General features: G+C 60.4%; 2 protein-coding genes across 9 annotated transcripts in view, besides 2 other annotated features; one reads left to right on the top strand and one right to left on the bottom strand.

Moving 5' to 3' along the window:
• The window catches only part of KCNT1 (potassium sodium-activated channel subfamily T member 1), a 93318-nt gene extending 81382 nt beyond the window's left edge, over nucleotides 1-11936 (bottom strand). For 2 of the 4 annotated variants that reach the window (NM_020822.3, NM_001272003.2), the window contains exon 1: nucleotides 11753-11936. In NM_020822.3, the coding sequence (NP_065873.2) occupies nucleotides 11753-11862 (110 nt within the window). In that variant the 5' untranslated portion in view covers nucleotides 11863-11936. Of the gene's footprint in view, nucleotides 1-9160; nucleotides 9406-11752 lie in introns of those variants that run through there. The other 2 variants (XM_011518878.4, XM_011518879.4) reach the window with 1 other exon arrangement.
• Nucleotides 12008-12137: a silencer, noted in NCBI's record as "silent region_20488". NCBI's record gives its function as "represses an Ori minimal core promoter by ATAC-STARR-seq in GM12878 lymphoblastoid cells {active_cell/tissue: GM12878}" and the evidence as "EXISTENCE:reporter gene assay evidence [ECO:0000049][PMID:35858748]".
• SOHLH1 (spermatogenesis and oogenesis specific basic helix-loop-helix 1) lies at nucleotides 12009-20714 on the top strand. Of its 5 annotated transcripts, XM_011518698.4 has the most exons (11): nucleotides 12009-13912; nucleotides 14258-14351; nucleotides 14644-14718; nucleotides 14995-15126; nucleotides 15645-15792; nucleotides 16494-16615; nucleotides 17316-17509; nucleotides 18858-19071; nucleotides 19664-19734; nucleotides 20086-20151; nucleotides 20307-20714. In XM_011518698.4, exons 3-11 carry the CDS (start codon nucleotides 14654-14656, stop codon nucleotides 20522-20524), a joined length of 1230 nt encoding a protein of 409 aa, XP_011517000.1. In that variant the 5' UTR covers nucleotides 12009-13912; nucleotides 14258-14351; nucleotides 14644-14653; the 3' UTR covers nucleotides 20525-20714. The 5 variants fall into 5 exon arrangements, with proteins under 5 accessions (XP_011517000.1, XP_006717172.1, XP_005263460.1 ...); XM_006717109.5 differs by lacking the exon at nucleotides 14644-14718; XM_005263403.4 differs by lacking the exons at nucleotides 12009-13912; nucleotides 14258-14351 and having other exon boundaries at nucleotides 14640-14718.
• Nucleotides 19030-19544: an enhancer, noted in NCBI's record as "H3K27ac-H3K4me1 hESC enhancer chr9:138586423-138586937 (GRCh37/hg19 assembly coordinates)". NCBI's record gives its function as "activates a minimal SCP1, AML or CMV promoter by ChIP-STARR-seq in naive H9 embryonic stem cells {active_cell/tissue: H9 hESC(naive)}" and the evidence as "EXISTENCE:reporter gene assay evidence [ECO:0000049][PMID:30033119]".

The raw sequence follows: 26398 nt of genomic DNA, 5'->3' as shown, positions 1-26398 counted from the left end.
CCTTCAGGGTCCAGCCCCAGAGACCCCCGTCTCAGACCCTCAGGCTGTTGAGGGGTGAGGGTGGAGTGACCAGGAGGCCTAAGAAGACACCCTTGTTTGCAGCCTCCCCAGGCGGAGCAGCTCAGCTCAGGTCAGAACCCCGGGGGGCTGCCAGGCCCTCTGGGCCCTGAGCTGCCCTGCCACTGTCACCAGGTGAGGGATCAAAGGGACACAGAGAGCTGGCAGCGCAGGTTAGGGGCATCGTGGCACACCAGGTAGAGTGGGAGGACCCCTGGTGGTCTGCAGTTCTTGGGGGCCCAAGCAGGTGTCTTCCAGGGGTCTTGCATCTTTCCTGTCCCCATGTCCCCCACTGAAGTGAGTTTTGGCTGCTCCAGGAGAAGCAGGAGCTGAGGGGCAGGGAGCTCCTTACCTGGCCCAGGCCGGCCCTTGTTCAAGGCTTCGAGGCCAGCAGGAGAGCAGAGGGGGGATGGAGGGGGCTGGCTCCCCCACGGGCAGGGGCAGGAGGCTCTGACCATACCCAGCTCCCCGTGCTGTGCCCGTAGGCCCTGCACAGAGGCCACTCATTTGGAACACCAGGTCCAGGGATGCTACAAAACTCTCCTCTCTCTCCTCAAGTCGGGAGGGGTGGGCACATTCCTTGAGCCCCCACCAAGTGCCTCTCCTGTGTCCCCTAACCCTCAGACAAGCAGCAGGCAAGGAGCTATGGGCACCCCAGGCTGAAGCTGCAGGCAGCAGGTGCGTGCCCCAAACCCTGCTCCTTGTTCTGAGGTCACAGGTTCAACCCCCAGGATCTGGCAGCATTTAAAAAATAACATTTTCCTAACTGCATCAGCGTAGCTGCATGTTTTTCCTTAGTCACAAGCTGGCTGGGCCATGGGGAGGTGCAGGCAGGCAGGGGAACCACGTGGCCAGGGGTCGGGGCTCTATTTTCTTGATTTTGTGCCTTCCTCACTGAAAGCCCCTTTCAATGGCAAAACCCCAAGAGACTGCCGGCTCCTCAGGCGTGGCTGCCTCCTCCCGTCCCCACCCCGTCTGCCTTTTGAGCGGCTCTGGTTCCTCCTCCTGGCCTCAAGGCCCAGTCTTGGCAGGGCCCATGGACAAGCTCAGGGGCTTGGACCTTGGCTTGCTTCAGGAGTCACCAGGGGAAGGAAGTGCACCAGGAGTCCAGAGACCTGGCCCCACCCCTGCTCCCCAGATGTGGCCTGGGGAGGGTGACAAGGACAAGATGCCCTTCTTCCCTTGGGAAGCTGCTTTGACACTTGAGCGAGCACACGGCCATAAGCAGGTGTCCTGCAGGCCTCCTGGCATCCTGCCTTGTTCCCCCCACAGAGCCAGAAACCTTGAAAATACTTCGCTGTTGTGTTGGCTGAGGGCCGGGGCTAAAATCCTTGGCTGTTGTGTTGGCTGAGGGCTGGGACTGAGGGCCGGGGCTACAGGGTCTCTGGGAAAGGGGCCCATCGCAGGAGGACAGCAGCAAAACAGCTGCTCCCCGTGTCCTCGGGGTCTGGTTGAGACTTTTCGCAAGCAGGAAGGCCTACATCGGCCAGCTTTTTTGGGCACAGGGGGAGAGGGGAGTGTTGGGGGGTCTGGTCCCTGTTGAAGCTGGTTCAGGTGGAACTGGAACATAACCCTGGCATAGCCAGACACGGGGACCCTGGGGCCCACCTCGAATTCTGCACCCCCTCTTCTCTTGCGCTGTCCTCCCTGTGTGACCCAAGGGGCCCTGGAGGAAATCTAGGACCCCCAAGGCCACATCCATGATCTTTTTATTTTCTGAGTGACTGCTGTGCCAAATAATTACCAATTTCCATAAGAATTCTGTGTTTGGTGGCTTAAGGAAGGTGTCCCTCTCCTCAGCCCTTACACTACTCTCTGGACAAGGTGTGGAGCTCAACCTGTGGGACTCACACACCCCTTGGAGCCAGGGCTGAGGTGACGGGACACAGCACACCCCCTAGACAAGGCCGGGGCAGCCCAGGGGCTCAGAGCACCCCGCTGCTCCTCTTGGGGACTCTCTGGGCTGTCAGCACACACCCTGCAGGCCCAGAGAGTGGCAAGAGTCCCGCTGGCATGAGTTCAGTCCTGGCCCATCAGTCCTGCTGGGCGGCCCCCGGCGAGTCACTTCACCTCCCTGAGCCTGTATGCTCATGCGTGAAGGGAGATACTGATGCCTGTTCCCTTATAGGAAGAGTGTGAAGATGTAACCAGACAGCATGCCTGAGGCACGCGGAACAGGGCCTGCAGGTGAGTGCTTCAGCTACAGCAGGTGTAGCGTGGCCAGCAGTTTGGCTGAGCTCTTATGGACAAAGGCTATGACCCAGGGTGGCCGGCGCCCAGCGTGCCCCCTCCGCTCAGCTGAGGCCCATCAGAGAGCTCAGGCTTGGGACACTGACTTTTGGAATCCATCTGGAGAGGCCAAGAATGAGCGAGGCAGTCCACACCTGGGCACGGCAACAGGAAGTCCCCGTCAGCTGTTTGGTGCACACGTAGTCACGTGCACTGACCCTGACAACCCCATCAGAGGGGAGCCCGGCAGCTGTGCTCAGTGCCAGCTGCCATGGACTGAGAGCCAGCTGCACGCCAGGCACCCTGGCAAGCCAGGTGGTGGCATGGAATCCTGAGAACAGTTCTCAGAAGCCAGTCTCCATCCCTAGTTCCTGGCAAGGACAAGTGGCTCCCAGAGCCCAAGGAGCGTCACTGAGGTCCCGGCAGAGGCACTGGGGTGGGGGCCAGGTCCAGGTTCACCTTGGGCTGTGCTGCCTTTGGCCAGCTGGGGGGCTCTTCTGATAGCCAGGAGTGCCTGCTTCTCACTCCCCCTGCATCTGTTCCCGGTGGCCATGGAGCCAGGGCTGTCTGACAAAGTGCTTAAAGACAAGCTTCTCCCGCCAAAGGCTCTGGGCATTCCCGTTCCAGTTGGGAATGTGAGGCTGCCCTTGCCATCATAAAGGAGGCCTCATCTGTGCACTGCTGCGAGAAAAAGGATAAAAGCAAGGAGTCATGAAGGGGGCTCTGTTTGGAGTTGGCATGATTGCTTACTGGAAAACCCAAGAGGAATCAACTGAAAACCTACTAGAGCAAATACGGAACCTAGTATGGCGGCCAACCCAGGAGCACCATGGAGAGCAGGAGCAGAGAGCCACCGGGAGAAAGCCCTGCTCACAGCAGGCGCGGGAGCCCCAAACCCACAGGGGCGCACAGCGTTCCTGAGAGATGGACTGGAAGCTGTCGCTGGCGGAAGACGGAGGTCTTCTTCCTGAGGGTCTAACAGTCCCTTCTCCAAACACACGGGTAAAGGGAATCGCCGCCAATCAAGAGCGCATCACTATTTTCTCAGAATTTGATGAACTGTTTCAAAAATTAATCCTGAAGACTATACGTGCAAGAACAGCCACAGCAGTTGTGAAAAGGAACAGAGAGGGCCCTCGTCTTCTGCTGCCAGCACCAATGTCCAGCCACAGCAGCTGACACTCTGCGGTCTGGCCCAAGAAAAGACAGAGAGTGGGGAGACACAGCAGAGTGCCTTGACCAGCTGAAGCCCACGTTGGAATCCAGGCTTGAGAAAGGAGGCGGGGGGCACTCCTCGTCCTATGGTATTGGAACGAGTGCAGCTCCACCTGTCCTGACTCAAGTCACGGTTGCAAATATCAGGAGGGGCGACATCCTTCCCATTGTGTTGATGGAGAAATGGAGGCCGGAGAACTTCAGAAATGCACTTGACCTTGTTCCTTATTTGTCCTTGTTTATCACTTGTCCCCTTGCCTTGGGAGGGCCGGTGCTTGAACCCAGTACCTGGCTCCAGCCTATGCTATGCAGTGTCTTCTGTTGGATAAAATAAGATTAGACCCCATCTGCAGCCCCAAACCAAGGACAAGATGGAAAGAAAATACAGGGAAAAGTGTTCAGAGCTGAGAAGGCCTTTTATTTAATACACGAAACCCAAAAATCATCTATTCCAAGAGGAATAGATTTATAAAAGCTTCTACATCTGAACAAAACACTGCTGTTTAACAAAAGACATCACTGGCAAAAGGAAAGAATAAGCGACCAACAGGAAGAACATATTTGCAACAGAATAATCATCAGAACACAGCCTGGTGCCTACAGGTCCCGTGGAAAGGAAAACAATCTGGCAGAAAACATGGCCGGGTGCAGTGGCTCAAGCCTGTCATCCCAGCACTTTGGGAGGCCAAGGTGGGTGGATCACCTGAGGTCAGGAGTTTGAGACCAGCCTGGCTAACATGGTGAAACCCCATCTCTACTAAAAATACAAAAATTAGCTGGTTGTGGTGGCACACACCTATAATCCCAGCTACTCGGGAGGCTGAGGCAGGAGAATTGTTGGAACCCAGGAGGCGGAGGTTGCAGTGAGCTGAGATCGCACCACTGCACTCCAGCCTGGGTGACAGAGCGAGACTCCATCTCAAAAAAGAAAACGACTCAAAGGATGGATGAGTGAGGTTCAAAGAAGAGGAATGGAAAACAACGCACAAGTAAAGACAAGCCACCTAGCTAATAATTAGAGAGATGCAGAGTTGGACGGTCTCCTGCGCCAGTGATCGGCTGTGGTTACAGAACGGGGGGTTCTGCAAGCCAGGGCTCTCATGTAGTGTCCAGCCGACTGGGAGCAGTGGATTAATTATGATGGAATCGTGGGTCCTCTCCAACTTGGAACCTCTACCTGGGGACATTTTTGATCTGTGGCCGAGGAGGCCCAGGCATGGATTTTCATCACGGCCTCATGTGTGAAGGTGAACACTGAAAACAGCCTGCACGTCCCTGAACTGAGGAGCGACTGACAGCTACAGCCAAGACTGCTCTGTGAAGGCACAGGTCTCTGTGAGCCTGCGTGAGCCCGTGTGGATGCATCACTACACAAACAGAATGGCATATAATGAACCCCATTTAAAAACTAAACACGACCGCTTTCCACAGAACCCTAAAGAAGAGGTGGGTTTCTCTGGGCACCCAGCTTGTAGGTGATATAGAGACTGTCCCCACACACTGGCAGCCACAGTGCTGGGGGCAGGGTGGGGTTCTAGGGCAGCGTCTCACCCATTGTGCTTTGCAAAGTGAATACATCATGCACGATGTGTGTTATGGCAAACGGAACAGCTAAGGGCTAAAGATGTCCTTCCCTAAACTCCAGCATCACCAGGCCCTTATTTCTGCCCCGGGTGGGGCTCAGAAAGAAGCAAGGAGCCTGCCTCTCAGGATCAGCATAGGAAGTCCTGGATAAAATGTCCTTTCCCGCAAAGACTTCTCTTAACATTGCTTGTGGTCCAGCATGGTGCCTCACGCCTGTAATTCCAGCATTCTGGGAGCCCGAGGTAGGCAGATCACTTGAGCCCAGGAGTTCCTGACCAGCCTGGGCAACATGGCAAAAACCTTCCTCTACAAAAAATAACAAAAGTTATCCAGGCATGGTGCCTGTAGTTCCAGCTACTCAGGAGGCTGAAGTGGGAGGATCATTTAAGCCCATGAGGTTGAGGCTGCGGTGAGCCATGACTGCGCCACTGCACTCCAGCCTGGGTGACAGAGCTAGATTCTGTCTGAAACAACAACAACAAAAAAAGATTGTGACTGTCTTTGGCTAAGGGAATGAGGTTTCTCTCCTAAAATACATTCTTGTTCACACTCAGTTCAAAATTTCCAGGAGCTGGGCGAGCCATGTTTGACAGAGAAGTTAGGGAGGAGGGAGATGAGCACATGTAAGCACGTAAATACGCACATGCATGCTGATGTGTGTGTAAATGAGCATGTATTTGCATGCAGAGGCATGTGTACGAATATGTGCATGCATGTGTGGATGGGATTGCATGCATGTATGTACAATGTGCATGTATGCATACATGTACATGGGCATATGTATACATGTGCACATGTGGACATATGTGTGCATGCACATGGATCTGTGTGCATGTGCCTGTATGTGTGTGGGCATCCCTACCCTGCATCCAGGAGAGTCCCCCAGGCAGGCATAGCATCACTGTGGTGGGGGTGTCTGAGTGCTGGGCTTAGTGTCCAGCAAGTGCAAAGCTGCAGAACCTCTCTGCTGACCATGGCAGAAAACTCAACGCTTCCTTTGCACGATGATTAAAAAGTCAGAGCTGCTCGAGATGCCCAGGCAGCTGGGCAGGCAAGCGTCCTCGGTGACGTCTCTCTTTAGGGGAGGGGCTTCTTGCCCATGCGAGGGTGGCTGCTCAGCACCATCTCCTGAGATGCTTTAGGATCCAAAGTGAAAGCTCAGAACACATGGAGGAGCCGAAATCAAGCTGTAGATTTATCCAGACAGACTTCAGAGCAGCTTTCTCCCAGCCCGGCGGGAAGAGGGGAAGGCCAGCAGCACAGTGGACACAGGGGCCCCAGGCGAGGCTGTGGGGGCCATCACCCCTGGACCCGTGCCCAAGGTTGTCGGGGGAGGCAGAAGCCTGGGCTTGGGCCAGACGCCAGGCGAGCCCTTCTGCTGTCCCCACCCCCTGCAGCAGGCAGCAGTGTGCTGGTCACTCAGGGTCAGATGGCAAGTCCATCTCAGGGTCCTGGGCCCTGGGTGCCCAGGACCCTTGGCTGGTCCTTCTCACAGGCCACACCCTGTTCTCCAGCTGCATCGGCCCACAGCCCCTGCCCCCGGCCACGCTGTGGCTGCTGGGAGATGCTTAGTGACTGCACACGTCAGCTGTCAGTACCCTCGAGCTGAGCTGGCTGCTGGGGGCAATGGTGATCATAGCAAGGAGCACAGCCTGGAGCCGGCAGGGGACCCTTGGGGACAGCCCTCCTAGGGTGGACAGCCTGAGGGTGGGGAGGCCGTGGTGGGGGCTGCACCTGGAGGAGAAGCCGCCCCTCTCCCACAGCTATGGGAGGCACCACCATGCCCCTGCTCATTCCCCCAGAGAACTGTGCCAGGTCCCTGGGCTGGCCATGCTGAGCACCTGAGGGCTGGCATGGCCTGCAGGGGTGCACCGGGCCTTATCTGATCTTAATTTTTAATTTTTTTTTTTTTTGTAGAGACAGGGGTCTTGCTATGTTGCTTAAGTTGGTCTCCAACTCCTGGCCTCAAACAATCCTCCCGCCTTAGCCTCCAAAAGCACCGAGATCACAGGCATGACCCACCGTGCCTGGCCTTGGGCCTGTCTGGGAACTGAGGCACAAGTGAGGCTTCATTTCCTCAGCACCAATGAACTCTGGGAGGGCTGGGCCACTTTAGGGAGGCTGAGGCACAGGGCCCCTGCTCCATCTAGGGGCCCGTACCCTGAGCTGCCATCATGCTCAGAAAATGACCAACTCACTGGCGCTCCCAATACCTGCCCCAGCCCCCTCCCTCAATGTGGCTGGGGTCAGGAAAATCTACTGGAAAGCTGCTGGGTGTGGTGGTCTGAGCCCTGGCTGTCTGTCACAGCTGGGGTCTGCCCCAGGCAAAAGCACTATTGGTGCCTGTGAAGCATGAGGACCCACTTCTGGCCCCTGGAGGGAGTCACAGGCAGATGGAAGCCCTCTTTGCCCCTCTTGTGGAGTGCCCCAGAGTGGCTACAAAGGAGGAGGCCTGTGTGCCTTTCCTGGGCACCAAGGGGCCAGCTGTGTCTCAGCCTCCGAGGCCTGAGTGGTGCCTGGCAGGACACAGGTGCCCCAGGGCGACGGTGCCAAGGAGGAGACGGTGGCAGCTGGCACACACCACACCCCGGCACTGTTGTGAGGAGGAGCCATTCTCACCCCTGGGGGCCGTGGGCCATGCGGCAAACATTAACACTGTGGGAATCTTTTGACTGGGCAATTCCACTTTTAAGAATCCATCTTGGGAAGTCACCGGACAAATGCTTAGCTCTGACGTGTCAACACAGGCTGGTGCGTGACAAGGCAAAGACGAACTGGCTGGTGTGCAAGCTCCCGACGCCAACACAGCTTTGTAAACACCAAGTATGTGCTGTCAGCATGGGCTCAACACAACCTCGTAAGGTCCATGCTAGCACTCCCATTCTACAGATGAGGAAACTGAGGCCCAGAGAGGTGAAGTGACTCGCCAGAGCTGACACAGCTACTGCATCTCAGTGCTGGGATGGACCAACCTCACAGACACAGTTCCCAGAAGCTCCTCCAGGCCCTCTGCTCCTCCCGGGGCGCCCGCCTTGTGCCAGTCCAGACCCTGGTCCTGCAATGCCCTCCATCTCCTGATGCCCCCACCTCTGCTCCAGTGAGGCCACCCTCCTCTCCCACCTCCCCCACCTCCCGCCCCCGATCTAGGGAGCAGCTGGAGGCCCCCTCTCAAGGAGGGCCTTCCCAGGGACCTACCCCAGGAAGCTCGCGGCCTCTGCCCTGCCACTGTCCCCTGCAAACCTGTTACACTTGCCAGCTGCTAGTACTGGTCTCACCTCCCTGGGCCAATCGCATCCTGGCCTCAGTTCCAGCCCCGCTGGCTCACTTCCAAGTTCCACAGGTGAAAGTGGGTCTGGGTGAACATGGGTGGCCTTATCCACACACACAGCTGGGAGAGGTCCCAAGACACCTTTGAAAGATGCCCATTTAACCGGGCCTTGGCACCCAGCCACCTAGCACGGGCACGCTGAGCCCAGCCTGCCTTTCCCCAGACTCATGACCGGTGACTTCAAGGTCACACAAGCTGGCTGGCGGGCCCCACACATCCTCCTCCAGCTCTCACACACGTGCCCACGGTGCGCCTGCCTGGCTCACGGAGCGCCCAGGTTCACATGCACACACAGCACTTGTTTTTGGGTACACGATACCCGTTCAGCATCCCTCACCCATGCAGGGCTGGGACACACTTGGACAAACTTTCCTGTTGCAGAGAAACCTGGGATTGTTTGTGGGAGACACAGAAGTGCCACCCTTTCCAGGGCCGATGGCACCTGGGTCAAAGCCTGCAAGTTTGCATCCCGGGGAAGCAGGACAAAAAGCCTCAGGGGAGAGCCCGAGATGCCCCCCAACACCCTCCGAGGGCATGAGATGGCCCCACAGCAAGGCCCCACTACTGCCACACCAGGCTCGTCCCAAGTAATTTTCTGTGTTAATCAAGAGCTCCCCATACGGTGGGTGAACCAGACCAGCACACTTGGAGGCTGCCGGGTGCGAGGACACAGGCCACACCCAGGCCAGCCACTGGAACAGAAGCAGAGGCCCTCGTGGGGACCCTGTCTGCTCCCTTCTCACTCACCTCTGTCCTCCTGAGCTGTTACTGTGGCCACTCCTGGGCCACAGCAGACCCCTGAGTTCCCTGTGGCCTGAGCCGTCCCTCCTGCCGGCCAGTGCTGGGCGGTATCTTGGGCCCTCAAACCTTTCCCATGAGCCCTGAGCTACTTCCTGCTGCTGAAGGCACTGCTCCCTAATATGGGCCTGGAGGGCTGGCCAGGACCTTGGGCCAGGCATGTACCCTGGCAGGATGCCAGGGCCTGATCCCATCAGGGCCTAGAGGGTCCCAGGCCCGCCCTGGAGCACAGCTGCTGGGAAGTGGTATTTCCAGGAAAGGCCTGGCAGGGGCTCTGATGCGAAGTGCGCTGGGCAGGGGGTGGGCACTTGCCAGCTCTGGGGCCACCAGGGCCACTGGTCCCTCCCTGTCCTACAACAGCTGTCATCTCCAGGGCCTGTGGGGAGGCAGCTGAGGGCCTGGGACTCCATGGCATGGAGGTGGGAGCAGGGAGCCTGGAGGCCAGAGGCCCGTGAAGACCCCTGCAAACTGGAAGGCCAGGAGCTCCTCTCTGGAGCCCCACTTTCCGGCCTGATGGCCTTGAGGCTGACTCAGGGACACCACTAGCGTGGAGCTGGGGGTTTGAGCTGGGGCACTGGAGTGGGGTGGGGTGTCCAAGCACCTCCTGGCCCCTCTGAACCATAGCACCAAGGCTGGCATCCTCCAGCACCCAGGAAAGACAGAGGCCTGCTCAAGGCCTGGCACCAAGACCTATGGACTCCAGGGCCTGGGTTCTGACCACGCTGTTGCCTGGCACCCTCCTCCCCATGTGAGAGCTGGTGGGGAAACCCGCCCCACAGAGCTCCCCCCACCACCAGGCAGCACGAAGGTTCTTCTTTCTGCAGCTGAAGCCACCTGCCTGGGCCGCAAGCCTTGGCCTCACCTGGAGCTCAGCTCCCCGCTCCCGAGCCCAGCCAAGCCCAGGTCCTGCTCCCTCCCCAAGCCTGACGCCTGACATCCCTCCACTGCCGGCGGCTGCTCTGCCTGCAGTGTGACAGGGAATCTCTGTTGCAACGGAGGCCAGCTCAGTCCAGCGGGGAGGAGGAGCTGTCCCGGGCCGGTGGGCAGGGCCAATTGGGAGAGACAGGTGTCTGGAAGGACCCGGAGGATGAGGCCTGGAGCTAAAGGCTGGACCCTGAGGACACTGTCCTGCCGGCTCGTCTGGAGCAGGTCAGGCCCAGCAGGGTAGGTGATAAACTCCAGCAGAATGGCCAGGGAGGGCAACGCTAGGCTGGGGAGGGAGATGGTAGGGGCCGGCCAGCCCACAAAGATGAGGGCAATCCAGGACCCCCTTGGGGTCATTTTCTCTGTGCCTGACAGGCATCCCCCGGATAGTCCCTCAGAGCACGTCCAGGCTGTGCCCACTTCCCAAGGACATCACCAAGTCACTGTCCACCCTCAGAGCACCTGCTCCTCACACACGCTGTACCCCGGACTCCCCCGGGTGCCAGGTGGGTGCTGTGCCTGCCTCTTGATTCTGGGAACCTCCTCTCCAGCCTGGTCCCTCACCAGAGGCAGCCCTTAAAGACCATCCGCCCTACCTCCTCATTTTACACTCGGGGAAACTGAGTCCCATAGAACAAACAGGCAGCCGCACCAGGCCTCCCGCTCTCAGGTATGCTCTTCCACCCCCTTCTCTGGCCTCAGGACAGCCTGAGACTGGGCAGGATCCAGAAGAAAGGGCTCTGTCCTGGTGGGGAGGGGTTCGCCCAAGGCAGTGACCGGCTCTGCCCAGGGTTCCCTGGAGTCTGGCTCTGGGGACAGGGTGAGGGGCAGACTTGCCTGTTTTCAAGAGCTGAGGGATGGGGGAGAGGATGGGGAACCTGGACCCTGGGGCAACCTCCGCTCAGGACTGTCCCACTCAGCTGCCGGTCCGTGCCTCTGCACTGGTCACTGGGTGGACGGCAGACGCATGGCATCCCAGGACACTGCACAGGGAACAGCTAGCTCCAGGTCACCTGAATGCCATTCTCAACTGGCCCTCTCCTCCCAGGGATAGGCCAGCGGGGAACGAGGAGTGACCAGAACCCAGGACTCCCGCCCTCATCTGACAGCCACTTAGCCCACTTCCCACTGGGGACTCTTCCTTGGAAGGTTGCTCTGGAAACCCCCTACTGTGTGGGGTAACCTCGCCGGGCACCCCACCCTGGCCGAGCACTGCCATGCCACACAAGAAGGATGGAACCTTCCTCCCCAAGCTGGGGTGGGGCAGGGGCTGGGGGAGATGGAAGGCCCTGCACCGCCCCCAGCCTCCCTGCCACTCCCCACACCTGGGAGATGCTCAGGACCCCCATGTAGCCACGGCCGCTCCCCCCAGCTTCTTACCAGGTCGAGGACAGATGGGGACGGACGCTGCTGCCTCGGCACCTGCTGATTAGTGCGGCCCACCCTGAGGGGCGCCCCTGTTCCCCAAGGTGGTTGGGAGGGCACTCGCGGGTCCTGGGGAAGTTGGATGGCCCTGGGAATGGCGGGTCCTGGAGGGTGCGGGAGCCTGAGGGGGAACTTGGGGGTCTTAGGTTAGACCGGGGCCTCCCCGCGTGGGGAGGGCGCAGCAGACTGTACCTGGGGGCGCATTGGCCGTCGTCAAACTCGAAGGTCCGGTTGGTGTAGCCCCCGCCGCGCGCCTCCCGGCAGACGCCCCCCGGGGTCCGCGCCCCGTCAGGGAGTGGCATGCGGCCTGGCAGCTCGGACCCGACCCGAGGGAGAAGCGAGTGGGAGCCGCCACCTTCTTCCCTCGCGTTGCCCTGAAAAACATTTTTTTTTTCCTCGCAGATTAGCGAGGAAAAGACGCCAGTTCCAGGGTCGGGTGCAGGCGTCTGTCCGCGCGCGCCCCCTGCCGGCCGCGCCGGGACCCGCGGCGGCTCTGGCCCAGGCTGGGACGGGGGTGCGGGGTAGGGAGGGCGATCCGCTCCCGCCGCGGCCCTCTGAGCCCTCAAAACTCCGAAAAACAGGACGGGGTTCGTCAATGGCTAGAAAAGCCCAAGCGCGCCGCCACCGGGCCCTACACCCCTGGGAGGGCTCCGTGGTGGGCGGGGGCTCAGGGGGCTCTGGGTCCTTGGCGGGCAGCAGGGCACATGCGCTGCTCGGACCGCCAGCGTCCAGCCGCTGCGCCCAGGGACCGTCAGCACCTCCCGCTTGTGCTGCTCTGCCGTGGTCAACACTGGTCATTGAACACAAGCCAGATTCAAGACGACTCCCCGCCCCCCCGCCCCCACACCCCCCGCAGGCTGCGGCATCTGTGGGTGGGCGCCACATCCTGGGCTTGGCCTGGGGGAGGGGGATGACTGCACCCCGCCCTGTGCTCTCACCCAGACGGGCACACACAGCACCTTTAGACGGGTGGGGAGGGGCCCCAACTTAAGATGCTGCAGGCCAAAGACTAGGAAGCAGAGGGTCCCCCTGCGGGCCCCCTTTCCCGTGCACGTGCTCACACTGTTACACATGCGTCACCCTGGCTCAGCCTCACACAGAGCTCTGGAGAACTGCGATTTCTGTCCCCAGAGCTTTGTTGGTTTGCAGGGTGGACCAGGCCCCTCACTAAGCCAGGACTGTGCCCACGAGGGCCAGGGGGAGGGCCAGGTCCATTTGGAGGGCGCATGCCATGTACTTTGTGGTCCCTGGCCTCCCCAGTGTCTCTCCAGAGGGTCCTTCCCTGTTTCTCCAGGAGGCAGCAGGCTGAACACAGATGCTTTTGAGGGGTGGGTGGGGAACACTCGGGGAAGTCTAGGATGCTAAGTCCCCAGCAGAGGTTCAGCCTGTGCCCCCGCCACACAGCTCGTGGGCATCTTGGGGGTTTTTCCTCAGGTCCCTAGATTGGCCGGTGCTGCTGCCGGGGTCCCACCACCCCTGGGCGGGTGCCGCCGGGGCAAGATGGTGGCCTTTCTGCCAACGCCCTCCTGCCTGGGGAACTCAGAAAAAACTGAGAGGCCGCACCATCTGCATCTGTGATTAATTAGCAGTAATTACACGTGTTGTCAACGGCAGGAGAGTCACAGGTTTGATGACATTCCGAGGGCTTTAGGGAAACAAAAACTTGGCCCCACTCTGCCACTGAGGAGCCCCAGATCGCCAGCCCGTCCATCCCTCCCTGGCCAGGGGCAGGGCCGGGAGAGGGGCCCAGGTCCCCGAGAGCTTTTGCCCTCCTCTCCAACCCCGTCCTCCTCCATGTCTGACCTGCAGCCAAGGCTGGGCGGAGCAGGGATGGAGACACCACCTTATATTACATAACCTCCCTCTGCTCCAAACACCCTTCACCCATCTTTGGCCCAAAGTCCAGGATGCCAGCCCGAGGCCCAGAGCCGCGCCTTCTCCACAGGAGACTGGGGCACCCCGGACAGACGTCCCCGTGTGGTGGCACCTGCCCGGGCTCCTTCTTGCCTCCCCTCTCGGGAGGAGAGCCCCTGCCACCCACCCCACCTCCTCCCGCTACGACCTCAGCACGAGCCAGGCCAGGGATGTCCTCCCAACAGTCCAGCCTCACCCCCCACCCTCGTCCCCTCTGCTTCCCTGAGGGCCCCCCGCAACCTCCGTGAAAGAGGAAGGGTCTCCACCTCCCCCTTCCCTCCGTCATCCCCCCAAAAGTATGTACTGGGGGACTCAAGCCCAGCGCAGGGCGGCTCCTGGAGTTCAGCGGGGAGGTGAGCAAACACCTGGCGCCGGAGCTTTCTGAATTTGGATGGGCAGGACCCCCGCGATCCCGCAGAAACCTGTTGAGAGTGTGAGGTGAGGGGTCGAGCTGGGGCCCCAGGGCATAAAGCGGGGATGGTGCTTGGGCAGGGCCAGGTGAAGGGACAGACGGTTCCGAGGGTGCCCGGCAGAGCTCAGCGGGAGGAAGAGCACGGACGATGGTGGCCTGGGGTGGGGACAAGATGCCCCTGGTTCTGGGCGACCCAGAAGTGTGGATGGTGACCCTACCCTGAGGCGCAGCGTCTGCAAGCGTACTAGATTTGGGGGAAAATGGAGGCGTGGGCGACTGGGGAGCAGGCGGGTACCCTTCCCCCTCCCTGTGTCCCTGGGTCCCCCAGGCCTGGGCTAAACAACTCAGCCCAGCCCGCCCACTCCCACCAGGGGCTGGGCTCCTAAGGGCAGAGCCCGCATCTCCAAAGTGCCCAAGGGCACCGAGACCACCGCATAAGTGGGAACCGAGGCGACCCCCGGGAAGGTAAGGGTAGAGGCAGGGCCACCTGGGCTGGGGCCCCTTCCCCTGGCGTCCTGCGGGGGCATAGAGTGGGTGGACCCCCCGAGTCCCTTTCCAGCACCTTCTTTGCAGGAACGCGGGTCACGTGGGCCCCGGGCTGGCTGCGTGGGGAGGGCTAGAGCGCATGCGCTATGGGGGCGGATTGCAAGTGGGGGTGGGGTGGGCTAGGTGGAAAGCACGTGGCAGGTGGGCAGAGCACACGTGAGGGGGCGGGGCTGCCTGCGGAAGGGGCCGTGCGCGTGGGGTCGCTCCGCAGCTGCGAGTTCATGGCGTCCCGGTGCTCCGAGCCCTACCCGGAGGTCTCCAGAATCCCTACCGTCAGGGGATGCAAGTGAGGAATTGGGCTGGCGGCCAAGGGGTTGGGGGCCCAAGGCCTGTACCCAGGGGTTCTTCCGCAAGTTGCTGGGCTCCACCCATCCTGGGCCTCCTGGGGCGGAGCCCTGGACCCTGGGAGAGGGGAAGGGGTGCAGAGAGGGCCGGGCCGTGTCCCTACGTGACCCAGTCTTGGCTTCCACCCGCACCCCAAAGACGCCCATTCTGGCATCTGGGACTCCTGGTGGCCTTTTCTGGGGTTCTCAGGGCCCGGTGCTCTTGGCTTTCTCGGCAGCGGCTCCCTGTCTGGTGCCCTCTCCTGCTGCGAGGACTCGGCCCGGGGCTCGGGCCCGCCCAAGGCCCCTACGGTGGCCGAGGGTCCCAGCTCCTGCCTTCGGCGGAACGTGATCAGCGAGAGGGAGCGCAGGTGAGTGGTGGTGCCTCCCAGGGGTGAGGGCGCTGTAAAGGGGTGGAGCGGGTGAGATTATGTTCGGGGCTGCCACCAGGTGTCAGGCAGCTGGGAGGGGCTCGTGGCCTGTGCCCAGGAGAAGGACAGACTGCACATCTCCAAGTAAACCAGAAAAGCCCTGTTGGGGAACATCCTGCAGCCCCTCTTTATCCTGAAGCCTTGGCCTCTTGAGGCTGTGCACCTGTGACCCTCTGTGCTTCTGACTGCCTCTGACCCTCGCTGTCTTTTCCACACCGCAAAGCAGCCATGGTTTGGGCCTGGGCTGGACAGCCTGTCGCCGAGGTCCAGGGGTCAGGCCCAGGCTGTGCTCTGATGTGGATCTCGGGGCTTCAGACCACGGGGGCAGCTCTGAGTCATCTTGTAGCCCCCTCTGCCTGACAAGCGCCCAGGGTCTATCTGGCAGGTTCTAGCAGTTGCTGTCCCTTCTCGGGGAGGGCAGGAGGGCCCAGAGGTATTTGTTTCTTGACCGGAACCAGGAAGCGGATGTCGTTGAGCTGTGAGCGTCTGCGGGCCCTGCTGCCCCAGTTCGATGGCCGGCGGGAGGACATGGCCTCGGTCCTGGAGATGTCTGTGCAGTTCCTGCGGCTTGCCAGCGCCCTGGGGCCCAGTCAGGAGCAGCACGCTGTGAGTTGTAAGGGTAGACGCCGTCAGTCCTCCGGCATCACGGTGATGGGACATCTCACCACCTTGCAGGCAGTGTGTCCCCTGTCATCCCCGTCTCCTTCAGCCCTCTGGGTCTCCACGGCTAGAGCAGGCCACGTTTTCGGCAGGGCACTTCCTGATTTGTTCAAGCCTTACCTGTTGTTATTCTGTTCCTGGAAAGGAGCAAGCCTTCCTTTCCAGCCCTCCTGTGCCCCTGAGTCCTGTTCATTGATGGGTTGCCGAGATGCTCCGTGCCAATTTGGGGGAGAGTTGGGGTCTCCTGATCCTCCCTGGCTGAGCACCCCCTAGATCATTTCTCTGCACGTCTCCAAGAGAGAGGCTCCTCTCCCCTCTCCAAGGCTCTGGGGGCTCTGGCTGACCCCGTGAGTGCTGGGGCTGAGGACCTGTGTGGGGAATGAAACTGTGTTGTCATCTGTGAGGTCAGGGGTCCCAGCATTTGCAGTGAGGCCCTTGGGTATGCACAGCCTGATTCAGGAATGGTGGGGCCTTTCGGGGGTGGAACCTCAGCCTCGTTGTCAACCTGTACTCTCGCCCCCAAGTTCCAAGCGGGGACCGAGCTCACAGTGACCCTCCAGGCCCTGGGGTAGCAGTCTTGTCACCGTGTCTTGGGTTTCTCAGCTGACTGTCTCTGTCTTTGTTTTACATGTTTACTTAAATTTCAGATTCTTGCTTCCTCCAAGGAAATGTGGCACTCGTTGCAGGAGGATGTTTTACAGTTGACGTTGTCGAGTCAGATTCAAGCAGGTGTGCCAGACCCTGGGACGGGAGCGTCCAGCGGGACTCGGTTAGTGTCTCCTGGGGCCCGCTCTCCAGGGCTGGGTGACCCTGGGAGCAGCAGACCCAAAGCCCCCTGGCATGTCCTCGGGAGGGTGTGGCCTGGAGGCCCGGCTTGGCCTCCGCAGGTGGTGACCTGCCCAGGGCCCTGCCAACTCAGGTGGCCAGGTGTGAGGTGACCAACATGGGCGAGCTCCAGCAAGGGGGGAGCGCGGTCAGCAGAATTGAGGGCCTGGGCTGGTGTGGAGGTGGGAGGTGCCCGGGAGGATCTCTTCTGCTCCTGTGTGTGGGGAATTTACAGGTGGTCAGTGAGGTGTCATACTCCTCCCCATGGGCAGCTTCAGGAATGCAGTTTTCTGAAGTCAAGATAATTTGGTTCTTTTCAGAATGGCAGCTCCCCAGGTTGAAGGACTGTCTGCATCTTGTGTTTAAATGTACCCATTTTACCCCAAAGCAGGCTGGGGCATGGGACTGGTGGCTAATTAGCTGTGGAAGAATCTAGAACCGGAGGAGTTGGGCAGAGGGAAACTGGGTAGACAGCTGTGGAGCTTGGCTGGCCCAGGGCCCCTGGGCAGAGGCTGGCTTGATGCTGGGTGGTGCCTGGGGTGTCCTGGGGATGGGTCCAGCCCTCTGCTCTTGGGGTGGGTGGGGGCAGCCTTCCAGGGGGCTGGGGAATAGACCCAGGATCCTTGTCATGTTGCTCCTTCTAGAACCCCAGATGTGAAGGCGTTTCTGGAAAGTCCTTGGTCCCTGGATCCAGCGTCGGCCAGCCCAGAGCCCGTGCCGCACATCCTTGCGTCCTCCAGGCAGTGGGACCCCGCGAGCTGCACGTCCCTGGGCACGGACAAGTGTGAGGCACTGTTGGGGCTGTGCCAGGTGCGGGGTGGGCTGCCCCCTTTCTCAGGTGAGTCCTGGGTGTGCATGTGGGGTGCCTTTGGCCTGGGGAGCGGCGCCAGGCTGTGCTTTAGCCCTAAGAACAATGGGGGCTGTTTGCAAACGGGGTTCGAAGTTTTCCCAGGCCCTTGTGTTGGTGAGAAACCCACGTGTTGAGGGATGAGCTTGATTCAAGGCCCCCGGGCTGTGCCTGCTTTTGTGAAAAGGAGGACGTGTGCTCTCGGGAGGGAGGAAGTGTGGCTCGAGGAAGGGAGAGTCCTGGGCAAAGGCCACCATGGGAGCTGTTCCTTCTATCCTGTCTCCTCCTGGGACTTCCATGTGCTCCAGGGAAGGGAGGGCCTGATCTTCTCCTCCCTGGGTCCCTGGGTCTGCTGGGAAGCATGGGGACGTAGAGGGACTTGGCCCCATCCTGGTCACTCCCTGGGTCTGCAGGAAGTATGGGGACGTAGAGGGACTTGCCCCATCCTGGTCACTCCCTGGGTCTGCTGGGAAGCATGGGGACGTAGAGGGACTTGGTTCTGTCCTGGGTCTGTGGGAAGTGGGGAGGTAGAGGGACTCGGCCCCATCCTGGTTGCTCCGTCCAGCTTTGTGGCCCTGCTTCTCTCACCCGCCTGTGGCTGGTGTGTTTTGGATGTGGCCGGAGATCTGTTTTCCCCGGGGCGCCCCATCTGCCCTTCCGCCTATGCTGCCTGGCCATGGCAGGAACTGTAATTGGGGTGAGCCAGGGGCCCGAGGCCTCCCAGCTGTTCCCTCTGCCACCCGGGGCCTTTGTCCCTAATGCCACCCACAGCTGAGCTCTGGTCCCTCTGTGGGTGGCCCTGCAGGGCGCCTCTGATGACCGAACTCCCCTCGGCCCCTGCTGTGGTAGCGTCTGGAAGTCGCCAGGTGCCATGAGAGGCAGGGCTGTGCCTTTTGGCTCCCAGCTGTGGCTGGGAGCAGTCATGCAGTTGGCAGGGCTGGTGTCAGAGCTGGGGTCATCAGGGCACTCCGGAAACCCAGGAGTCAGCCAGGCACGTGGGGAGCGAGCAGGTCTGAGGGCAGAGCTCGAGGTCCGGGAGGCGGTGCTGAGAGGGTCCCCAGATCCAAGCCCCTTGCGGCTGGCCAAGCCAGCACCCCCTCTAGGAAGCCCTTGGCCCCCAGGTGTTGGGCACCCCACCTCTGGGTGTTCATCTTTTCCTTGTTTACCTGTGTGCCACCCGCTTCTGAGCTTCCTCCCACGTGTCCCTGCTGCAGGGTGCAGGCAGCAGAGCAGGTGCTCGGTCAGTGTGAGTGGACCGAGCCCGTGAGTCACGAGGTCCTCGGGGGCAGCCTGTGGGGCTGGGCAGGGAAGGCTGACCCGCATCTGACTTCTCTCCCAGAACCTTCCAGCCTGGTGCCGTGGCCCCCAGGCCGGAGTCTTCCTAAGGCTGTGAGGCCACCCCTGTCCTGGCCTCCGTTCTCGCAGCAGCAGACCTTGCCCGTGATGAGCGGGGAGGCCCTTGGCTGGCTGGGCCAGGCTGGGCCCCTGGCCATGGGGGCTGCACCTCTGGGGGAGCCAGCCAAGGAGGACCCCATGCTGGCGCAGGAGGCCGGGTGAGTGCCCAGGTGGTGTGCACGCCTGTGTGTGCGTGAGCGAGCATGTGTGTGTGAGCCTGTCCCACCTCCTCCCAGTCCTGCTTGGGCCCACTTTCTCGGCATCTGGAAGCTTCCGTCTCTGCTTCTGTGCCCGTGGGAGGGAGGCCAAGGCCACAGCCCAGGACAGGACCAGCCAGCCTTGCCGTGTGGCTTTCTAATGTGTGTTTCTGGAAACACTTTTGTCTTCCTAATTGTCATTTGTTTTGGCTGATAGTAAAATGAGTTTGTGTTTCGTGAGCACATACCAGCTGGGGTGTGGGAGGGGGAGGGGAGGGGGAGGGAGGGGACGAGAAGAGCGAGACTGTGGCTGGAGAGAAACCGGCAGAGATGCTCTGCAGGACGGATCGGGACCCGCGAGAGCCGCTGGCCCGTGTCCTCAGCGGCTGTGGCCTCTGCATTTCTCCCCGCTGGGCAGGGTGGAGCCTGTCAGGAGTGGTGCCTAGATCTTTGCATTCGAAGCTGCCTTTGCAGGACTTGGGCCCAAATGTTTCCTTGAGCTCCAAGGTCTGGGTCCGCTTGTGGCCACTGAGGAAGAGCTTGTCGCTTCCAGGTCTGCGTTGGGGTCTGATGTGGACGATGGGACGTCCTTCCTGCTGACTGCTGGTCCCAGCTCGTGGCCGGGTGAGTGGGGCCCTGGGTTCAGGGCTGGTCCCCCCGCGTAAGCACCTGATATGAGCTGGGGAATTGGGACTCAGGCCTAGCGTGTGTCAGGGGGCCCCAGGGTCTGTGTCTGAGCCCCCGTTTTCTCCACCGTTGGTGCTTAGCTGTTGGGCCGTGTCTGGTATTGAGCGTTATAGGTGATATGTGAGTGTGTGAGTGAACGTGATGTGGACGAGCCTGCATGAGAGCTGGCGGTGCTTGGAGCCCTGTATTCTTCCCCTTGACCCTGTGTCAGCGAGGCCCCTGGTCCAGCCCGTGCTGGCCGGCAAAGGTGTATGGCCCTGTGACATGGCGTGTGTCCATTCCATTTAGGATTTAGTGTTTGGGAGCCCGTTCCTGGTTCTGGTCCAACAGGTGTCCTGGGTCTGGGGCCACCAGGTATGAGCTCACCCACCTCATCACAGCCTCTGTGCAGCGGGGACAGGGCAGGGCAGACGGACTGAGGTGGGAGCTCTGTTCCTCCGACCCCACCTGTCTGCCTCAAGCTCCCAGAGCACCTGCCTGCCCTGCCGATGTGTCCTGTTTGCTTCCAGGGTCTCTGGAGGGTCGAGGAGGCAGTGGCCCTGCATGGGCCCCAGCTGAGAGCAGTCCACTGGATGTTGGAGAGCCAGGCTTCCTAGGGGACCCTGAGCTTGGCTCCCAGGAGCTCCAGGACAGCCCTCTGGAGCCGTGGGGCCTGGATGTGGACTGTGCAGGCCTGGCCCTGAAGGACGAGGTGGAGAGCATCTTCCCTGACTTCTTTGCCTGCTAGCAGCCAGGCTGTGGAGAGGAGGCGGGCGGGGCCGGTGGATCTGGAGCCGTGTGTGTCCCTGTCGCGTGCTTGGGCATTTTATTTTGGGTTTGGGTTGCAGCTGCACCCTAATTTGAGCGAGGCTTACAGGCTGTGAGAAGAGGATAGTGAATATTAAAGAGGGAAAGCAGTTTTCCTGGAGGAAGCAAAACCTGTGTGGCTTCTGTGTAATTAGCCTGATTCATCAGGCGGATCGCGCCACCTCCGTTCAGCGTTCAGGCAGCTGCCGGGGATTTTGTTCTCCAAAGTTCTCAGCACTGCGAAATCCCGGAATAACCCAGTCCTGGTGCCCTGGGGTAGGGGTGCTGTGGGACCTGCTCCCTGGAGGCGATGTGGCCTCACGGTCTTGGTGCCTGGAGGCTGCTCTGTGAGCTGCTTTTCCTGCTCGTTGCCACTCAGAGCTGCAGGGAGGAGAGTCCTTTAGGAAAAGCCTGCTGTCCTCTCCCAGCCCAGGGGGCTCCAAGGGAAGGGCTGGCTTCCACCTCCACTGCTGGTCATCTCTGCACTCACTGTGCATGGGGAATAGGGGACCCTGGGCAGAGGTCACCTGGCCTCAGTGTCTGGTCCTATTCCCAGCCCTACACCCTGAGATCTGGAGGGGAGCTGGGTTACTTCGGGGTCGGGGTGGGCAGGTTACTTAGAGGAAGGGCCGAGCTCTTTGGATGGTGCTTAGGTGCCCGCCTGTTCTTCAGCCACAGCACAGGTGGTGCTGGTCTCCGACCCCGGATGCTCAGGGTCTCACCCTGCTATCCCCATCTGGATAGCACGCCCACCAGGGCAGTGTTCCAGGGGCCAGCGCAGTCTCTGTCGCCCAGGTAGAGGAAACAGGTCTGAGCGTGGGCTCAGAGCCCCACCAGGCTGCAGCCCTGTGCCTGCATGCAGCCGCCCCCGCAGCCAGCCAGAATGTTCCATTCATTCCTCTGAGTCATTCAGGCAAAGGCTTAGGAGGGCCTGCCGTGGGCAGGAGGTTAGGAGGCTCCAGGGAGCAAGCGCCGTGCAGACACCAGGCTGTGGGTGGCGGGCAGACCCCAGGGGGCTTTGGTGAGGGGCCCAAGGCCATCAGGACTGGCTCTGAGCACCCATCGTGGTCCCTTGGAAGGAGGTTCAGGTCCAGCTGGATGCCTGAGGCTGTTGGCTGCAGAACAGCATCCCTGGGTTGCCAATGCCACCGGGCACTGATGGCCCGTGTTGCTGAGACCCTGCGACAGAGGCGGAGGAGCCTTCAGACCTCTGGTGGACAGAGTGGTGGTCGGGGCCCAGCCGGGAGCACGAGGCTGCTCTTCCGTGTTCTGTTCATTAGGGGTCGACACAGGCAGCCAGATTTCAAGAGTGTCTCCTAGAAGACCATTGTGTTCACTACTGCACGGCCGTAAAGCGATACTTAAGACTGGGTGATGGAGGAAGAAAAGAGATTTAGTCGGCTCACGGTTCTGCAGGGTGTACAGGAAGCGTAGTGACTTCTGCTCCTGGGAGGCCTCAGGAAACTTCCAATCATGGCAGAAGGCAAAGCGGGAGCAAGCACATTACGTAGAGTGGAAGCAAGAGAGAGGAGGGAGGTCCCAAACTCTTCAACAACCAGATCTCACGTGAACTGACAGCGAGGACTCACTCATCACCAAGGGGCTGGCACTAAGCTATTCGTGAGGGACCTGCCCCCATGATCCAGTCATCTCTCACCAGGTCCCACCTCCAACACTGGGGATCACATTTCGACATGAGATTTGGAGGAGACGTCCAGACTGTAGTACCGTGTGTGCATGTGTGTGCACACGCGTTCGTGGGTATGCACAGCTTCGTGCTAGTACTCGAGTGCGCATCCATATGTTGGTGTGCGTGTGTGTGTGTCCCATGTGTTGGTGTGTGTCCACGTTTGCACTGTGGTTGTGTGTGTGTACTGTTGCCATGTGTGCGTTTGTGTGCTGTGTTGTATGTGCGTTTCTGTTCCCATTTGTGTTGGTACGCATGCTTTTGCACTGTGCAAACTGCAGTTGTGTGTGTGCATGGGTGCTTGTGCCAGGTGTTGGTATGTGCATGTCTGTGTGCAGTGTGCACATATGTGTACGGTATTGGTGTCTGCATGTGTGTGTACTGTGGTGTGCATGTGTGTGATGTCTCCACTGTGGTGTGCATGCGTGTGTGCACTGTGTTGGTGTGTGCATGCATGTTTGTGCACTGTCGGCCCGTGTGCATTGTGTGCACTGTGTTGGTGTGTATGCATGTATTTGTGCTCTCGTGTGTACGTGTGTGCACTGGTGTGTGCATGTGCATATGTGTGTGCTGTTCGCAGTGTGTGTGTGCACTGTGCTGGTGTGTGTGCATGTATGTGCACTGTGTTGGTGTGTATGTGTTTGTGCTCCCGTGTGTGTTGGTGTGCGTACATGGTTGTGACTATTGGTGTGCATGCCTATATTTGCACTGGGTGTATGTATCAGCCCTGCTCCGGCTGACCAAGGAGACCCTACCACCCCTCCGGTCGGCACCCAGCTGCCCCTGGCTGTCACGAGCTGAGTGGGGCGTGGCTGTCCAAGCATGAAGGTGGCCATGGGGTGGCGCGGCAGGGTGGGCCACTGTGCTGCCTGGCTTCCCCTCAGTGTTGTTCCATGGCCAGCATGGGGGGAAGAGTCCATGCTGCACCCCAACTGGGAGCCGGGGGTCCCTGGTCAGGGCCGCACCTAGTCACCTTCCACAGCCCAGCACGAGGCCCTCCCTCCCCTTTCTTTCCAGAAACTTCCAGAATCTTCCTGACTCCTGGACTTTTCTGGCCTTTTGACCCTCATCAGCTGTCCCTGCAGTGGTTCCCGGTGCCCAGGTCATGGCTTGTGTGTGTGTCTCCTCGGCCCACAGTGTGTGAGAAGCCTTGGTCCTCCTTAATGTCCGGGGGCTCCTTGGAAGAGGAGGCCTGAGGAGAGGATGGCACACCTTGGACCCTTGAGGCGGTTTGGGGGAGGTGCTGGGTCACATGAGGGTGGGGTGGGAGGTGGGGTCTAGGGAGGCCCCAGGAGTGAACTCTGATGCCCATCTGAAGGGTCTCCACCAACGGGTTTCGGGGCTGGCAGTGGGAACCAGCATGCAGACGGGAGTGGGGTGCCCTCCCCCTGCCTGCCCTCAGCTGTCTCTGAATCTCTTCACCCAGGAGGTGCAGGAGGCCCCCAGCTCCGAGACGCACATGCTCAGCTGCCCCTCTGGGAGCTACATTCTCTCTCCAGGCGTCCACGCTGGGGTCGTGCCTGGTTCCCTGAGGGGAGGGGTGGGGTGGGCAGGTGTATCAATCCCTTTTCATGCTGCTATAAAGAACTGCCCAAGACTGGGTAATTTTATAAAGGAAAGAAGCTTAATTGACTCACAGTTCAGCATTGGCTGGGGAGGCCTCAGGAAACTGACAAATTGTGGCGGAAGGGGAAGGAAACACATCCTTCTTCACATGGTGGCAGCAGCAAGGAAAAATGCAGAGCGAAGCGGGAGAGAACCCCTTAAAAAACCATCAGATCTCGTGAGAACTCACTATCACGAGAACAGCATGAGGGTCACCGCCCCCATGATTCCATTACCTCCCACTGGATCCCTCCCAGGACTCGGGATTACGGGGACTGCAATTCAAGATTTGGGTGGGGACACAGCCGGACCACGTCAGCCGGCTCCAGGTTCATCTCCGTGCGCAGCATGAGCGGGAGTGGGCAGGTGGGCTGCCTGGAGGAACCCCCAAGGCTGTGGGCTGGATGCCTGTCTGCCTGAGGGTCACCAGTGTGTCCCTCCCATGGGCCTTGGGAATGGACATCCGAGTCTGGGAGGTGCGGGATTCTGTCCTTTGGTGAGGGAGGTGAGAGGGGGAGGCTGGCGGTGGGTGCGTGTCGGGTTTGGGCTGCTGTGGAGGCCCCCATTCACATCTGGGCCCTTGGACACCTCAGACATAGGAGCGGAGCATTCGGGCCTGGCCCTTGGCCCTCACTCTCCTTTCCCTGCTCCCCATTATCTCTGCCGTCCCCAAAGTTCAGGCCTCCGTTGGTGGCACCCATGAGTGCCCCTTGCCCTGGGCCCTGCCTGGCCTGTGAGTTGTTCCTTTGGCTCTGCCTTCCGGGTTCACCCACAACCCCTGGCCCAGCTGGCAGCCGGGCCAGGCTTAGTTCTGTCCTGTCCTGGATGCTGCCTGCGACGCAGCCTCACCAAGCCCATATCTCATCTGTCAAATGGGCTTGGTAGAGAGGGGAGGAGTGAGAGTGGATAGAGCTAAATCACTCAGAGTAGTGTCTGATGCTAAGTAGACACCTCATAGGGTTTCAGACTCATCTCTGGGAGGATTTATTGAGCTGATGAACGCGCAGCTGCAGACGCAGGCAGAGGGCTCCACGCACCCGGGGGTTTTGTTTCAGCAGCTGCATTGAGATGGAATTCACATCCCGTGCAATGTGATTGGTGTCTGGAGGCACCATCCAGGGCCATCAGCATACTGCACACATTGCCTGCTTCTCCACACTCCTCCCCACCTCCACACCCCCGTCCCTCACCTGCATGGAGGTGGCAGCTACCTGCCTGGTCTCCCTGCGCTGTCCTGGGCCTGCAGGATGCTCTCCTCACGGTGCCCAGCATGAGCCTGACATCACACATGACGGTGTCACCTGCTTTTACAAGTATGTCCGGGCTCCACTCATCTCCTTGGCTTGTGAGGTCTGCAGGGTCCTGGGTGGCCACAGAGGAGATTGATCAAGAACGTGGCCTGTGATTGACACATAATTGTGTCACAGTGATTGACAATAAGGTTGTGCTCGACCTGGGAGCGGCTTCTGGCTGGAGGGATTGTGACCCTGCAGGACGGGGGTCCAGCCTCGCTGACATCGAGCAGTGGCTTCCAGGCTGCAGGAACTGTGACCCTGCAGGACGGGGGTCCAGCCTCGCTGACATCGAGCAGTGGCTTCCAGGCTGCAGGAACTGTGACCCTGCAGGACGGGGGTCCAGCCTCGCTGACATCGAGCAGTGGCTTCCTGGCTGGAGGGATTGTGACCCTGCAGGACGGGGCTCCGGCCTCGCTGACATGGAGCAGTGGCTTCTGGCTGGAGGGATTGTGACCCTGCAGGACGGGGGTCCAGCCTCGCTGACATGGAGCAGTGGCTTCCAGGGGATGCCCTCAGGGCTGACGGCCACACCCTCAACGCTGTGGGATTTCCTGGCCCCATGGTCCCCAGAACCGTGGTCACTGCACCGTCAAGGCTCCCTTGGCTCCAGGCAGCGACGTTGCCACCTCCACTGTGTTCAAGCCAGTCCTGGCCTCCCTGGATGCCCCTGCTGGCTCCTCCCTGGGACCAGAGAGGCACTAACACCCAGCCCTTGACCCAGGAGGCAGCCCTGTCCTGCCCTCTGTGGGCTCTTAGAACGCTGAAGCCCCGGGAAGCTGCGGAAACTTCTGGTCTGCGTTGGGACCGCCTTCCTGAAGTGTGGCCCACGGACCCCTTCCTGAGAGAAGACACTGGGGGAGTGGGGGCATCGGGAGGGTTTGGGCCAGTCCTTCCCTGGGAGGCCGCCAGCTATTTCCCAGCCTGTTTGGCCAGGAGCGGCGGGAAGGCAGGAAGTACGGCTGGTGGGGCTGGCAGGAGTGTGGTCGGTCAGACATCACCACCCTGGTCAGCCTGGGAGGTGGGCACTGCTGTGTCCCCAGGTTACATGAAAGAGAAGCAGATGTGGGGCTCCCTGGGGTACCTCTTGGGAAACAGAGCTTGGAGGGATCAGCTGGACCCCAGGTGAGCCCACCGGCCTCTGAGGCCCAGGCCTCCCTGGAGCCTAGGGTGTCAGCCTCTGCTGTTCTGAAGCACAGCCTGGCCCTGAGGGCAGGGAAGGCCCCACCCG

The sequence above is a fragment of the Homo sapiens genome, chromosome 9 (assembly GCF_000001405.40).
Source record: "Homo sapiens chromosome 9, GRCh38.p14 Primary Assembly".
NCBI lineage: Eukaryota > Metazoa > Chordata > Mammalia > Primates > Hominidae > Homo > Homo sapiens.
The sequence above is the reverse complement of the archived record's forward strand: the minus strand, read 5'-3'. Positions and strand labels throughout refer to the sequence as shown.

Excerpts from the sequence above, each read along its gene's own strand:
- SOHLH1 (XM_011518698.4), top strand. The coding sequence starts at position 14,654 with ATGGCGTCCCGGTGCTCCGAGCCCTACCCGGAGGTCTCCAGAATCCCT. Across the intron at positions 16,616-17,315 it reads GGAGCGTCCAGCGGGACTCG|AACCCCAGATGTGAAGGCGT; the intron begins GTTAGTGTCTCC and ends TGCTCCTTCTAG. Across the intron at positions 20,152-20,306 it reads CCTGGGTCTGGGGCCACCAG|GGTCTCTGGAGGGTCGAGGA; the intron begins GTATGAGCTCAC and ends GTTTGCTTCCAG.